Here is a 13,559-nt window from a genome sequence, read left to right on the forward strand (position 1 = left end):
AGTGGTGGGCTAAAACACTCCACAGGGTGGTGCATGGGGGCTGCCCACACTCCCTGCTGCTTTCTGCTCTCTGCTTGTTCATCCTCTCCCAACGGGGCAGCCCCAGAAGCCAACACTGCATGTTGGAAGGAGTCCCAGCCCTGCCCCTGCCAAGCGAGGTGGGGACAGCTGGGAATCTCGCTGCCTTCATGGTGGCGGGCCAGGCTGCTCTGTAACACGAACATTAAAACTGATTTGAGGTGTTAGCGGTGTCACTGTAAGTGTGAGAATGAGAAGCGGTGTGAGACGTGTAGATTTGTGGGCAGTGATGGGGAACAGCAAGGGTGGGGTGCCTCGGTGGGATCTGAAAGAGAACCCGCCCCCCTCAGCTGGAGTGGCACTCTGTAACCCGCCCCCCCTCAGCTGGAGTGGCACTCTGTTGGCTGTTGTTTTCAGGCTGTTGGGCCGTGAGGCTGCTCTGGTCTGAGAAAGTGGGTGGCAGGAGGACAGGACGGCCTCTCTGTGAGGGAGGCACTGACTCTCAGGAGATGCTGTCATTGGGATACTACAGTATTCCATGAACTTCCTCTATAACTTAAATGATGAAAGTTACAGATAATAGCTCAAATAAACTGTTGTGAGCCGTTAAGTATGGCAGTTTGTATCATGGTTAAATCTGCAGAAGGTGTAACATTTTGCTTGGGTTTTTTTTTGCCTTATTACTGGCCGTGTTTTAAAAATATCTTTCTTATGAAGAAATTCTGTCGTGGCTGTGTGATTTCCCCTGCGATGCTAGGATGTGTTTGCAAACCAGTGGCAATGCCAGAGCCTGGGCCCTGGGCTGCGGTGCGTTGGCTGGGTGTGGTCTGTGGTAGCTTCCACCTGCTGCCTGCGCTTGGGAAGTGCCCTGACCTCTGAGCAGATGACCTCTGAGCAGATGACCTCTGAGCAGATGGTTTCTGATGGTGGTTTTTTTTCTGATTAATTGAATTACAAGTATCCTGTGGTAGGTACAGGGTTTTCCCTTTCCCTTGTCCAATAAATCTTAACTTCATTCTGTGATTTTTAGAAAAGGAAGAATGCCCACAGATGTGGAGGCACAGATGCCCTGGGCCTCGCAGCAAGCTTATCCTTAACAACCCATTCTCCTTCAGGCCCTGCCACTTAGGGAGAAGACTGTGGGGGCAGTGCCTGCCTGTCCTCTCTCCATTAAGCCTCTGCTGGGGGCCTGCCTCCACAGTGCTCTTCCCGGTCTCAGAGTGGCAGGGGACACACAGGCAGGGTTCTTACCACCATGGAGCTTATTTCTGGTGGGTGGAGGGAGGGCCCACAACCAAAGAAAGTGACTTACAAACACAGCAGGCACATGCTACATGGAGAGCAGGGAGGCTGAGCAGGAGTGGCTGAGGGGCTGCCTGGAGGGTGGGCAAGGGAGGACTTTCGGAGGAGGAGGTGTTGGAACTGGGTGGCAGGGGGGAGCCAGGCATGTGTCTAGGCAGGAGGCGTGCATGGAGCAAAGACCTGATGGAGGAAAGGAAGGGGTGGGGGGCAGCTGGGGTGAGGAAGCCAGTGCAGGAGATGAGGTCAGGAGAGCAGGCCCCCTCTAGGAGGTCAGGTGTCACCCTCAGGGCAGTGGACAGCATGGCCCCAGGCCCCACTGCAGAGGCTCGCCCTGGCTGTCGGGAAGGCACTGGGGTGCAGGTTTGGTACGGAGGCTGCAGGTGCCCAGGCAGTGTGGTTAGGCCTGCTGAGATGTGGTGCGTGCCGAGGCTGCCAATGGGACTGGAAGGAGGACTCAGACCTGACTCCGAGGGGCCTGAGCAACTCAGGCAGGATGACGTGGGGAGGGTCAGGTCCAAGGTAGGAGGGGTTAAGGATTTGGTCTTGGACTTCAGGTAACAGATGTCCAAGTGGCTTGGCCAGGTAGGCAGTGGATATGGGAGTTCATGGGGGAGAGCAGGGGCAAGGAGATTAATTTAGGAAATTATCAGCAGAGAAAGAGAGCATGGCTATGGACTGGGTGGGCTCATCTAGGGGAGAGGAGCAGAGGTCCAGGCCCAACACCCAGGGGCCTGTGGCTGGAGCCCAGAAGAGACTGGTGTGGTTGGAACTCCAGGTGGGGCTTGCTCCACTCTATCCTGGGTGCTCATGCCCCAGATCTCTGTGTGCTCAAGGAGCGTTGGCAGCATCCTGACCCGCCCTGCTCACATGCCCCATCCCTGCTTTCCCCTGTCAGTGGGTTGCAGGCCCATGATCCCGCCAGGCCTGTCCATCTGTCCCTGTGTCGCAGACAGTGCCAACCTTCCCTGATGTTTGTGTCTCCCGCCTGAGGCCTGCCTGTGTTTCCAGTGTCTTCCACCACGGCATTCAGGATGTGGAGGACAGTGACCCGCGTGTGGCTCCCATGGCTGGCCTGGCTGGTCTGGAAAGCATGCGTTCTGCTTTCCTGGCCAGATCGTCTTTTCATGTGCTTATTTGCCATCTGTATATTTTCTTTGAAGTACCTGATCAAATATTTTGCTCATTTTAAAAACTGGGTTGTTTATTTTCTTATTGAGCTTTGAGAATTTTTTCTGTATATATTCTGGATACAGTCTTTTATGGGGTATGTGTTTTGCAAATATTTTCTCTCAGTCTGTAGCCTGACTTTTCATTTTTATAACAGTGACTTGAAGATGAAAAGTTTTAAAATTTGGTAACCTCCAACATCAGTTTTTTCTTTTGTAGTTCATGCCTTTTGTATCATGCTTAAGAATTCTTTGTTAAATTGAAGGTCTTTAAGATTTTATCTTATTCATTCTTCTATAAGCTTTATAGTTTTGACTATTACATTTAAGTCTATGATCCATTTTGAATTAACTCTATATTGGATGCAAAGAAAATGTCAAGGTTCTTATTTTTCTTGTTTTTAAAAATACAATGTCCAGTTGTTCCAGCACCATTTCTTGAAAAGATTATCTGTTCCTCATTAAGTTGCCTGGGAAGCTTTGTCAAAATCACTTGTTCATATGTGTGTGTTTTCAGGATATCTGGGATTTGTTTTAATACAGTGTGCTAAGACATGAGACATAGAAATGACTGTCATGAAGGAAGAAAGTGTTTGTACCCACAGCTCCCTGGAAGCAGGAGCACGGCTGCCAGGCAGGGCCACATGGGAAGCACCGGGTAGGTCAAGAGGCAGAGAGAGCAAGGGGACAATGTGGGCAGGGAAAGCCTCACTGTGGTCTCCACAGGAGGAATGGGTGAGGCAGGGGGAGCAGGCTTAGGAGTGGCACTTTGAATCATTTCAGCAGGCCCTTGGGTGTAGGGTCTGTCCCTAGTTGTCTGGTGCCTGGCCTTGGGTGATTGGGGCAGGTGGGGAGTGGCCCCATGTGAGAGGAGGTGGTTGGGGTGTGGGCTCTGGATTGGTGGGTTTGTATTTGAAAGGTACACTCCAGGATGGGTTGTTTGCTATTTCTAGGAATTGGCTAACGCTGGGAGGGCAGTCCCTCCAGGTCAGCAAGCCCTGGATGTCAAAGCATCAGACACAGAAAAGGAAAAACATGGTTAATACTGTGTGCAGACTATTTCTGGACTGTATTCTATTCCATGGGTCAATTTATTTATCTTTATAACTAGCTTTATAATAAATCTTGAAATCGGGCAGTATAAGCCCTCCCATTTTGTTCTCTTTTTCAAAGTTCTTTGGCTGGTTTATTTCCTCGGTATCTTCATACAAATTCTAGAATTAGATTAGTTCAGCTTTTGGTTGGGGTTGCACTGAATTGATAGATCACTTGTGGAGGTTGGTATCTTGTTAAAGGAAGTGCTTGGAGGGTACGGTCTAACTTTGTTCCTGAATTTAGGGGTAAACATTCAGTTTTCACCCTTGTGTATACTGCTAGCTGTATGTTTCAACTGGAGGTCCTTTATCAGGTTCAGAAAGAGTCCTTAAATTCCCAGGTTGCTGAGGATTTTTATCATGAGTTAATACTGAATTTTGTCAAATGTTTTCTCTGTATCTATTGAGATGATCATATGGTGTTTCTTTTTTGTTTATATGGTGAATTACATTGATAGCTTTAAAAAACAATAGTAAGCCAGTTGCATTTCTGGGTTAAAACCCACTTTATCTGCATGTATTTATTTTATATTGTTGGATTTTTATATGCTAAAATTTAAGAATTTTGGCATCTATATTTCTGAGGAATATTGATGTCTTTTCTTATGTGTATTTTTCTGATTTTTTATCATGTTAATGCTTGCCTTATAGAATGAATTGGGAAGTATTCTCTCATCTTCAGTTTTCTAGATGAGTTAGTAAGAAATTGATATTATTTCTTCCTTGTATATTTTATTTTATAGAATTCACCTGCAAAGTCATCTCGGTCAGCACTTTTCTTTGTGGGAAGGTTTTATCTTGAATGCAGTTTCTTTGGTATGTATATAGGATTATTTAATTCTCCTTAAGTGAGTTTTGATTATTTGATTCTTGTAAGAACTTGCTCCATCTAAGTTAGCAGATTTACTGACATGCAGTAGTTCATAGCATCCGCTTATTGTATTTATTTATTTATTGAGGTGAAATTCACTTAAAATGCAATTAAAGTGCACTTAAAATGCAATTAAAGTACACCAAATTAAAGTGTACAATTTGGTGCATTCAGAATGTTGTACAACCAGTACCCAGTTTCAAGACTTTTTCAAAACTTTTTTGTTACCACGAAGGAATACCTCCCACCCATTAAGTAATCACTCCTGGTCTCCCCCTGTCCTTATGCCCTGGAAACCACTAACCTGCTTTTTGTCTCTATGGACTTGCCTGTTCTAGATATTTCATCTGAAGAAATAATGCAATATATAACCTTTTACGTCTGGGTTCTTTCACTTAGCCCCGCTTGGAGGTTCATCTGTAACACGTGCTGTACTTCATTCCTTTTGATGTCTGCAGAATACTCCACTGATGCCTGTACCAGATGTGTTTATCCATTCATTTGCTGATGGACATTTGGGTTGTTTCCCCGTGTTGGCTATTATGAATAGCACTGTTATGAACAAGTATCTGCTTACATGTGTATTTTTAATTCTTTTGGGTCTGTACCTAGGAGGGGAGTTGCTGTCCTATGGTGATTCTATGTTTAACTTTTTGAGGAACTGCCAGACTGTTTTCCACCCTAGCAGCACCATTTTTCATTTCCACCAGCGATGTATGAGGTTGCCTGTTTCTCCAGGTCCTCACCAACACTTCTGTTAGACTTTTTTGATTATAGCCATTCTGGTGTGAAGTGGTATCACATTGTGGTTTGACCTAATTGTCTTCATAATATCTTTTGTGTCTGTATAATGTTCTATTTCTCATTCTTGATATTGGTAATTTGGGCCTTCTACCTTTTTTCTTGGTCAGTGCAACTAGATATTTATCAATATTATGTGCCTTATTAAAGAACCAACTTTCGGTTTTATTAATTTTCTGTATTTTTTACTTCTATTTATATATTTTTAGAGACAGAGGCTTGCTCTGTAACCTTGAACTTCTTGGCTCACGTGATCTTCCTGCCTCTGCCTCTCAAGTAGCTAGGATTACAGGGATGTTCCACCATCTACCATGCCTGGTTAATGTAAAAAAATTTTTTTGTAGAGAGTAGGTCTTGCTATGTTGCCCAGGCTGGTCTCAAACTCCTGGCTTCAAGTGATCTTCCCACTTTAGTCTCCTGAAGCAAGTATTTTTAAAATGGCTTTTCAGCTTATAGATTTTTATTCTTTATTTCCTTTCTTCTGCTTGTTTTGCTCTGTTTTAGTAAGCTTAGGTAATGGATTTGAGACCTTTTATTTCCCTAATATAATCATTTAGTGCTGTTGATTTCCCTCTTGGTACTGCTTTTACTGCCTCCCACATATTTTGATATGTAGTGTTTTCATTTTTATTCAGGTCAAAATGCTTTCTTATTTCCATTGTGTTTTTTCTTTGACCCATATGTTATTTAGACATGTGCTGTTTATTTTCCAAGTATTTGGAAAACTTCCCAAATACTTTTTTGTTCCTGTTTTCTAATTTAATTGATTTCTAATTTAATTCCATTGTGGTCAGGAAACATTTTTTTTATTCCTTTACAGTTTTATTGAAATTTAAAAAAAATTTTCAGAATATTACCTTTGAAAATATCTCATGACCACTTGAAAAGAAGGCATATTCTGTTATAATTGTGTGGAGTGTTCTATAAATGTCAGTTAAATAATGTTGGATGATAATGTTATTTGAGTCTCCTATATCCCGTACTGATCTTCTGTGTAGGTTTTTACAAAATCAGTTATTGAAAGAGAAGTGTAGAAAGCTTCCATTATAATTGTGGATTTATCTATTTGGTGGGGGGTTGCTTTATATATTTTTAAGCTCTTTATTAGGTGTGTGAACGTTTAGGGTTATTATTTTCTCTTGATAAACTGACCCCTTAATTATTATATAATGTCCTTATTTACTTGTGGTAATATTATGTACCCTGAAATCTACTTTTTCTGATATTAAGATAGTCACTCCACCTTTTTTTTATTAGAGTTAACATGTCACATTTTTTCCCATCCTTTTTCTTTTAACCTCTGTGTATGTTTATATTTAAAGTGGGTTTCTTACAAATAGCTTATAGCGTGGTCTTGTTTTTTTATCAAGTCTTAAAAGGTACATTTTAATTGGGATGTTGAGACCATTCATATTTAATGTGATTATTGATATGGTTGGGTATAAATCTGTCATTTTGCTGTTGGATTTCTATTTTTCCCACTTGTTATTAGAGTCCCCTTTTTTCTCTCATTCTCCTTTATTTTGGATTGAGTACTTTCTATGATCAGTTTTATTACCTTTACTAGCTTTGTTGCCCACACAATGGGTGGGTTCAATTGCTTGGCCACCAATAGTACAATGAGCTCAACCAAGGAGGATTTAACAAGGGAATCTAAAATTGCAGCAAGTAAGGAGGACACCAGGGATAAATCTCCAAAGCAACGCCTCCCTGAACAACGCTGAAAACACCGTTTTTAGGCTCGTTAGCTGAATCATTGTGTGTAGAAGGTACAGTCAAGGCAGCACAGGCACAGTTGTCAGTCATGCTTCTACATACATCACAGGTATACAAGATGGCAAATAAGCTCTTCTCTGGGCGGAGTTTTTAGTGTGGTAATGAGGAGAGTTTGCCAAAGTTCATCTCCAACTGAGGCCTCTCTGGATCTAACTGGCTTTTGTTTCACCAGCACTGGGCTTCTTCCTGGAACTTTTCTTAAACAACAACTCAAGATGCAACAGTTAAAGTGGATACTTTTTACAGTATATGCCTGAAAACCTGAGGACATTGGGTTGCAGCTTATTAGCTTTATCTCTGTGTTTTCAGAGGTTGCTTTAGGATTTGTTGTATATTTCCTTAAGCTACCATAGTCATCTGCAAGTAATATCATACCAGTTCACATATAATGTAAGAACATTACCAAAGTATACCCTCTCACTTCTGGCTATTACATTATGCCCTTATCTCCTCACTTCGATATTGTCATAAGCCCCACAATGCATTGCCTTTTTTTTTTCTTTTGCTTTACATAGTCTATTATCTTTGAAAGCAATCTTAAAAAATTAAGAACAAAAGGCTTTTATATTTTACATATTTTCTGTTTCAATGGTTTTCACTTCTTTTTGTAGATCCAGATTTCCTTCTGGTATTATTTTCCTTTTGTGTTTTGTACTTCTTTTAATATTATTTGCAGTTCAGGTATGTTGGATAATGAATTATTTTAGCTTTTGTTTGTTAGAAAAAATCTTCTTTTTACTTTTATATTTGAAAGTTATTTTTACTATGTATAGTATTCCAGGTTGGTAGCCTTTTCTTTCATTACTTTAGAGATAGAATTCAATTGGCTCCTGACTTGCACTGTTTCTGAAAAGTTCTCTGTTCACCCTGTCTGTGCTTGTCTCTTTGTACATAGTTTCCTATTTTAAAAAATTAATTATATTGTGTATATCTAAGGTACACAATATAATGTTATAAAATACAGATAATAAAAAGGTTCCTGTAGTGAAGCAAATTAACATACCCATCATCTCACATAGGTACCCAGTTTTGATTTGTTTTGTTTTTCTGTGGCAAGAGCAGCAAATGAGTAGATTTTAGCTGCTCTTGCCATAATGTTTCTTTTTTACTGGCTGCCTTTACGATTTTTTTTTTTTTTACATAATTTGATTATGACGTGCCTTGGTTTAGTTTAATGTTATTTATTTATTTATTTATTTGTGGTTGGGGATTGTTGACCTTTCTGAATCTATGTATGGGCTTAAATTTTCATCCATTTTTGAAAACTTTTTGTAATTTTTTTTGTCTGTTTTAGAGACAAGGCCTCGTTCTGTCACCCAGGCTGGAGTGCAGTGATGCAATCACAGTTCAGAGTAGACTTGAATTCCTGGGCTCAGGTAATCCTCCAACCTCAGCCTCCTGAGTAGCTGGACTACAGGTGTGTGCCACCATGCCTGGCTGATTTTAAAAATGTTTTTGTATAGATGGAGTCTCACTGTGTTGTCCAGGCTGGTCTCAAACTCCTGGGCTCTCAGAGTGCTGGGATTACAGGCTTGAGCCACTCTGCCCTGCCTTTTGTCATTATTTTTTAAAATATGTTTTTGGCTTGTCCCATCCCCTGCTTCTGGGTCTCCAATTACACATATATTTTTGTCTTTTGGGAGTAGAGAATCTTTATCTGTGTTTTATTTTAGGTAGTTTCTGTCTGCACAGATTATTCTGTCTGTACATTGACTGATCTTTTCTTTTGTGGTCTAATATGGTGTTAATCCCAGTCAGTATATTTTTTTAAATCTCAGATGTATTTTTCATCTCTGCATGCTTGATTTGTGTGTTTTAAAAATACTTTTCTTGTCTCTCCTTAGCATTTTATGCTTTCCTGTATCATCTTCTACATATACAATGTATTTATGATAGATGTTTTATTTATTTATGTATTTATTTTTTGAGATGGATTCGCTCTGTCGCCCAGGCTGGAGTGCAGTGGTGCCATCTCGGCTCACTGCAAGCTCCACCTCCTGGGTTCACGCCATTCTCCTGCCTCAGCCTCCCAAGTAGCTGGGACTACAGGCGCCCGCCATCATGCCTGGCTAATTTTTTTGTGTGTATTTTTGGTACAGACGGGGTTTCACTGTGTTAGCCAGGATGGTCTCGATCTCCTGACCTCATGATCTGCCCGCCTCGGCCTCCCAAAGTGCTGGGATTACAGGCATGAGCCACCGTGCCTGGCCTATTTATTTATTTATGTATTTATTTATTCAAATGGAGTCTAGCTCTGTCACCCAGGCTGCAGTGCAGTGGTGCGATCTTGGCTCACTGAAGCCTCTACTTCCTGGGTTTAAGCAATTCTCCTGCTTCAGCCTCCCAAGTAGTTGGGATTACAGGTGCCCACCACCACGCCTGGTTAATTTTTGTATTTTTAATAGAGATGGGATTTCATCATGTTGCTCAGGCTGGTCTTGAACTCCTGACCTCGAGTGATCTGCCTGCCTCTGCCTCCTAAAGTGTATAATAGCTGTTTTAATGTCTTTGTGTACTAATGATCTCTGTGTGTATAATTTCTGAGTTTGTATCTTACTGATCAACCAATCTCATTATGAGATATATTTTTGTGCTTCTTTGCATGCCTCGTCAGTTTTGGACGGATGAAAGACATCGTAAACTTTGTATTGTTGGACTCTGCATTCTTTTAAAATATTTTGAACTATGTTTTGGAATGCATTTAAGTTACTTGGAAAGTTCAGATTTTTTGGCAGCTTGTTGCTGACTTTGTTAAGCATTGCCTAGTGTAGTACCCCAGCTTAGTCTGCTGCCAGTGCAGTCATTTGAGTGCTCAGTGTGGTGTCCCCTGTACTGCAAGGCTCCTGCAGCCTAGTTGTTGGGAGTAGGAACTCTTCCCAGATCTGTGTGAGCCATAGCTATTGTCTGTACTTTTTCTTTTCATTGGTTCTTCCCCCGACCTCCTGTAGTCCACTCACTCACATGTGCCCATCCATGTCCAGGCAGAGACTAGAGAATCCACCACAGACCTCTGGGATGTTTCTCTGTGCAGGGCATTCCTTTCTGGTACTCTGCCCTCTAATTCTAGCTTTTGCCTCCTGTGCTGTGGGGTCCTGAGTGCAGTGCATCCTGATGAGACGGTGCTGCAGGCCCAGCCCACCGACTTCCAGAGATGTCAGTTGCATCTCTCCCCTTTCCTCTCTGCCTTTGCCTCCCTGAATTCTCAACTCCGTTTCCAACTCCCCTGGCCTTGCCTGGGTTCCCCCTTCCTGTGCTGTGGCCCAGGCACTCTCCCCAGGCTGTAGGCTGCAGCAATTGTAGGATGCAACCCATTTGCTTCCCTTCTCTGGGGATCGTTGTCCTGTGCTGCCTGCTGCTCCATGTCTGAACACCCTCGTCTCATATCTTTTGTCTGACTTTTAAGTGAGGTGGGAGAGTCATCCCAGTCTCACTCTTTCTCTGTCACAGCTGACCATGGTCCAGGCTTTCTTATGTTTCTGTAGTCTTTGGACATCACTGGACAGAGGCCGGCTGTCTGTCTGTAGGAGTCTCTGCGCGGTGTTCACCTGCTAATTCAGTCTGCACAGGGAGAACCCTTGGCCTGTGGTCCAGGTGAAGGCCCTTCAGGGTGGAGCCGAGACTGTGGGTGTTCTGGGCTGTCCCGTCCCGTATACTCTCCCTGTGTTCTTACCTTCCCCTATAGATTCAGAGGGATTTGAGAATCAGCTGTGCCCCAGACGTCAGTCAGGCCGAGGACTGTGGGTCAAGGTTCAGGGACCCTGGGGTTCTGAGTCTTTATCAGTGTCGTGTATGTTCCAGACTCAGTTTAGAATTGAATCACTTTTTATGGAATTCTTTCTCTGGGAAACTGTCTTTGACCTTCCCAATAACTGATTTATAAACATGTCTTTTTAATAGATGACTTTGGTTTGATAAAATTTGGTATCTAAGGTGATAGATTGTGATTTCTGTCTCTCTTTGGAAAGCCTATGATTTCCAATTTTAATTGTTTTTTCCTTCAACTGTTTACAGGACTGTCTACAAGAGAGAAGCTCCCCACGTGGTTCCGTGTAAGTAGTGCTTCTTATGATGCTGTCACAGGCGATATTTTTAGACTAAACGACTCTTTCGGTGTCAGCAGAGTTGAAAGTCTTGCTCTCAAGGGAAGCTGTGTGTCTCTGCTGACCCTCTGGATCCTGGTTTTATGTCTCATGGGGAACCTGCCTCAGGTCACACTACTGCCAAGAGCATGTAGTGTGAGTGACACGCGTTTTCCCTTCTTGCTTCTGTGGAACCAAAATTTTAAAAGAGGCAGTTTCCTCCCTCTCTGGTAACCTTTCTCCACAGTTAACCTGACCATGTAGACCAGCAGGAGCTGGAGGGCCAGTTGTTAGTGCACTTGGAGCCTACTGCACGAGCCTACCGCACAAGCCTACCGCACGCCTTTGTTCTTGTGCCAACAGTGCCCACTGCCCGGTAGTGCCTGTGTGTGCGGTGGCCATGATGGCACCACAATGTCTGAAGCCACACAGTGCATGGGTGACATCTGTGGAAAGGACCTGGCACCGGCCAGCACACAGAGGCACTCACCTGTCTCACACAATGCACTGTGGTCCCAATTCTAGTTTTGTAAAACTACCTTGAGATGACTCCTTTTAAAATTATCCTTAAGATGTCTTTCTTTTTCTAAAGCTTATTAAAGGTCATTTTCAAAACGTTTTCAGCAGGAACTTGGTGTATATTTGCAGTTCTGCATGGAAAACTAATGGAGTCATGATGGCTGCTGATGCTGATGAAGTAGTACCAGCCAGCCTGATTTCATAACTTCCATAGAATCACTCCCTTCTTCCTCCCAGTGCCCCTTTGAGATAGGGATTGTTATTCCCTGAGGCTTGGCGAGGTGAAGTAACTCACTCAGGTTATCTTGGTGCCAGTGGTGGGGCTGGGATTTGAGCCAAGTCTTCCAACTTCACAATAGCAGAGTAAGAAGAGCTGCCTTGTTGATGGGACGTGGGTCGGAGCTCCCAGTGTGTCTTGCCTTCCTGGTGTGCTTGATGGCAGCCCTGGGCTGCTGTGAGGTCCTGAGCACAGTGCATCCTGAGGAGACAGTGCTGCGGGCCCCGCCTACTAACTTCCAGAGATGTCAGCTGCAGCAGGGCAGCGCCCTGGTTAGAGAGACGGCATGGGGAGTTGGCAGGGGGAGGCCCTCGGAGAGATGGCATGGGGAGTTGGCAGGGGGAGGCTCTCGGAGAGATGGCATGGAGGGGTTGGGGCCTGTGCTCCTAGGTGCTTAGGCTTGCAGGTGACTGGAATCCTGACTAATATCATAAGAGGAGAGTTCTTACTAACAAATTACTTGAACAAAGACTTTGTTTGTTCCTTCATTCGTTCAGCACATGTTTACAGTGTGCCTGTGATGTCCCAGGCGCACTGCCAGAATCCTGACATCCTTGTGGGGGGATCGAAAACATAAATCTAGTCAGTGAGTTCATCCTGTGGCATGTCAGGGGGTGACAGTGGCTGTGGAGGAAACAGGGAAGGGCAGGGTGTGGGAGTCCTGGTGCTGTGTGAATAGGCCGTCAGGTCAGCCCTGAGACACGGGGCATCTGCGCGAGTCTTGCTGGAGGTGCACGTGTGAGCCCCTTGGTGCAGGAGGTGAGGAGCTGCAGGGCCAAGGGGGTTTGGAGCAGAAGCTCGGGTCTGACATGCCTGGTGCATCCATGGGGCAGTGAGGAGGCTGCGGGGCAGGAGGTGAGAGTGCCGCGGGTTAGGAGGTGAGGGTGCAGCTGGGGCACATCAGGGGTCTCACAGGTCATCCCGAGGCTGCTCTCAGTCCACGTGGCGTCGGGGCTGAGAGGAGCCCACAGCAGGGTGGGTGTGGGAGCAGGGAGCCAGCCAGTCTCTTCTCTGTGCTAGGTTATTGTTGTGGCTTTAGCTAAAGCTGCTGTAATACCTGTTTCTTAGAGGAATCCAAATCCCTGTTGCCTTGGGGCCAACTTTGTAATCTTACAAATCTGGATCTAATTTTCACCAAACTCTCAAGGGAAGAGCCTCTGGGACTCAGACAGATAAACAACACCTGTTATGTGCTGTTCCCATTTTCTCTTCGACTTTGGTGTTGTCCAAATTCTTCTGAGCCTAACTGTAGGCTCTTCAGACCCAGCCTACAGTTCTGGAAATAAACCAGCGTGCTGGGGTGGGGCGAGCCCGACCATGCAAGCCATGCCCCGGCAGCCAGGCTGAGAGGCAGAGCAAGCAGTGCAGGTGGACCCATCGCCTGCCAGCATGTGGGTTCTGGAGGCTGCAGCAGGCAGATTCTGGAAATTCCCTGAGGCCTTCGTTCAGTACAGACAGGGAACTTTTATAGGTACCTGTGGCCTCTTCTGCTGGTGGGAATGGAGGTGCCATGAGCACTGAGCTGGTTGGAACAGAAGGGCTCTCCTCTCGTGGGCTGTGTCGAGTGAGTCCTGCAGCTTCTCGCTGTGAGATTCTGGGGTGCCATGATGAAGCAGAGCGGAGCTCATCTGAGTGGATGTTTCCCAGGGGAGCCAG

At 44.5% G+C, this 13,559-nt stretch overlaps 1 protein-coding gene across 17 annotated transcripts in view; it reads left to right on the forward strand.

Annotated features, from left to right (window-relative positions):
* The window catches only part of PCBP3 (poly(rC) binding protein 3), a 298,726-nt gene that overhangs the window by 80,628 nt on the left and 204,539 nt on the right, over positions 1 to 13,559 (forward strand). For 13 of the 17 annotated variants that reach the window (NR_145492.2, NR_189734.1, NM_001382284.1 and 10 more), the window contains 1 exon segment: positions 11,040 to 11,077. The exons of the other annotated variants lie outside the window; for them this stretch is intronic. The gene's annotated coding sequence lies outside the window, so the exon portion shown is untranslated. 17 annotated transcript variants of the gene reach the window in all.

This window comes from Homo sapiens, chromosome 21 (assembly GCF_000001405.40).
Source record: "Homo sapiens chromosome 21, GRCh38.p14 Primary Assembly".
Taxonomy (NCBI): Eukaryota; Metazoa; Chordata; class Mammalia; order Primates; family Hominidae; genus Homo; species Homo sapiens.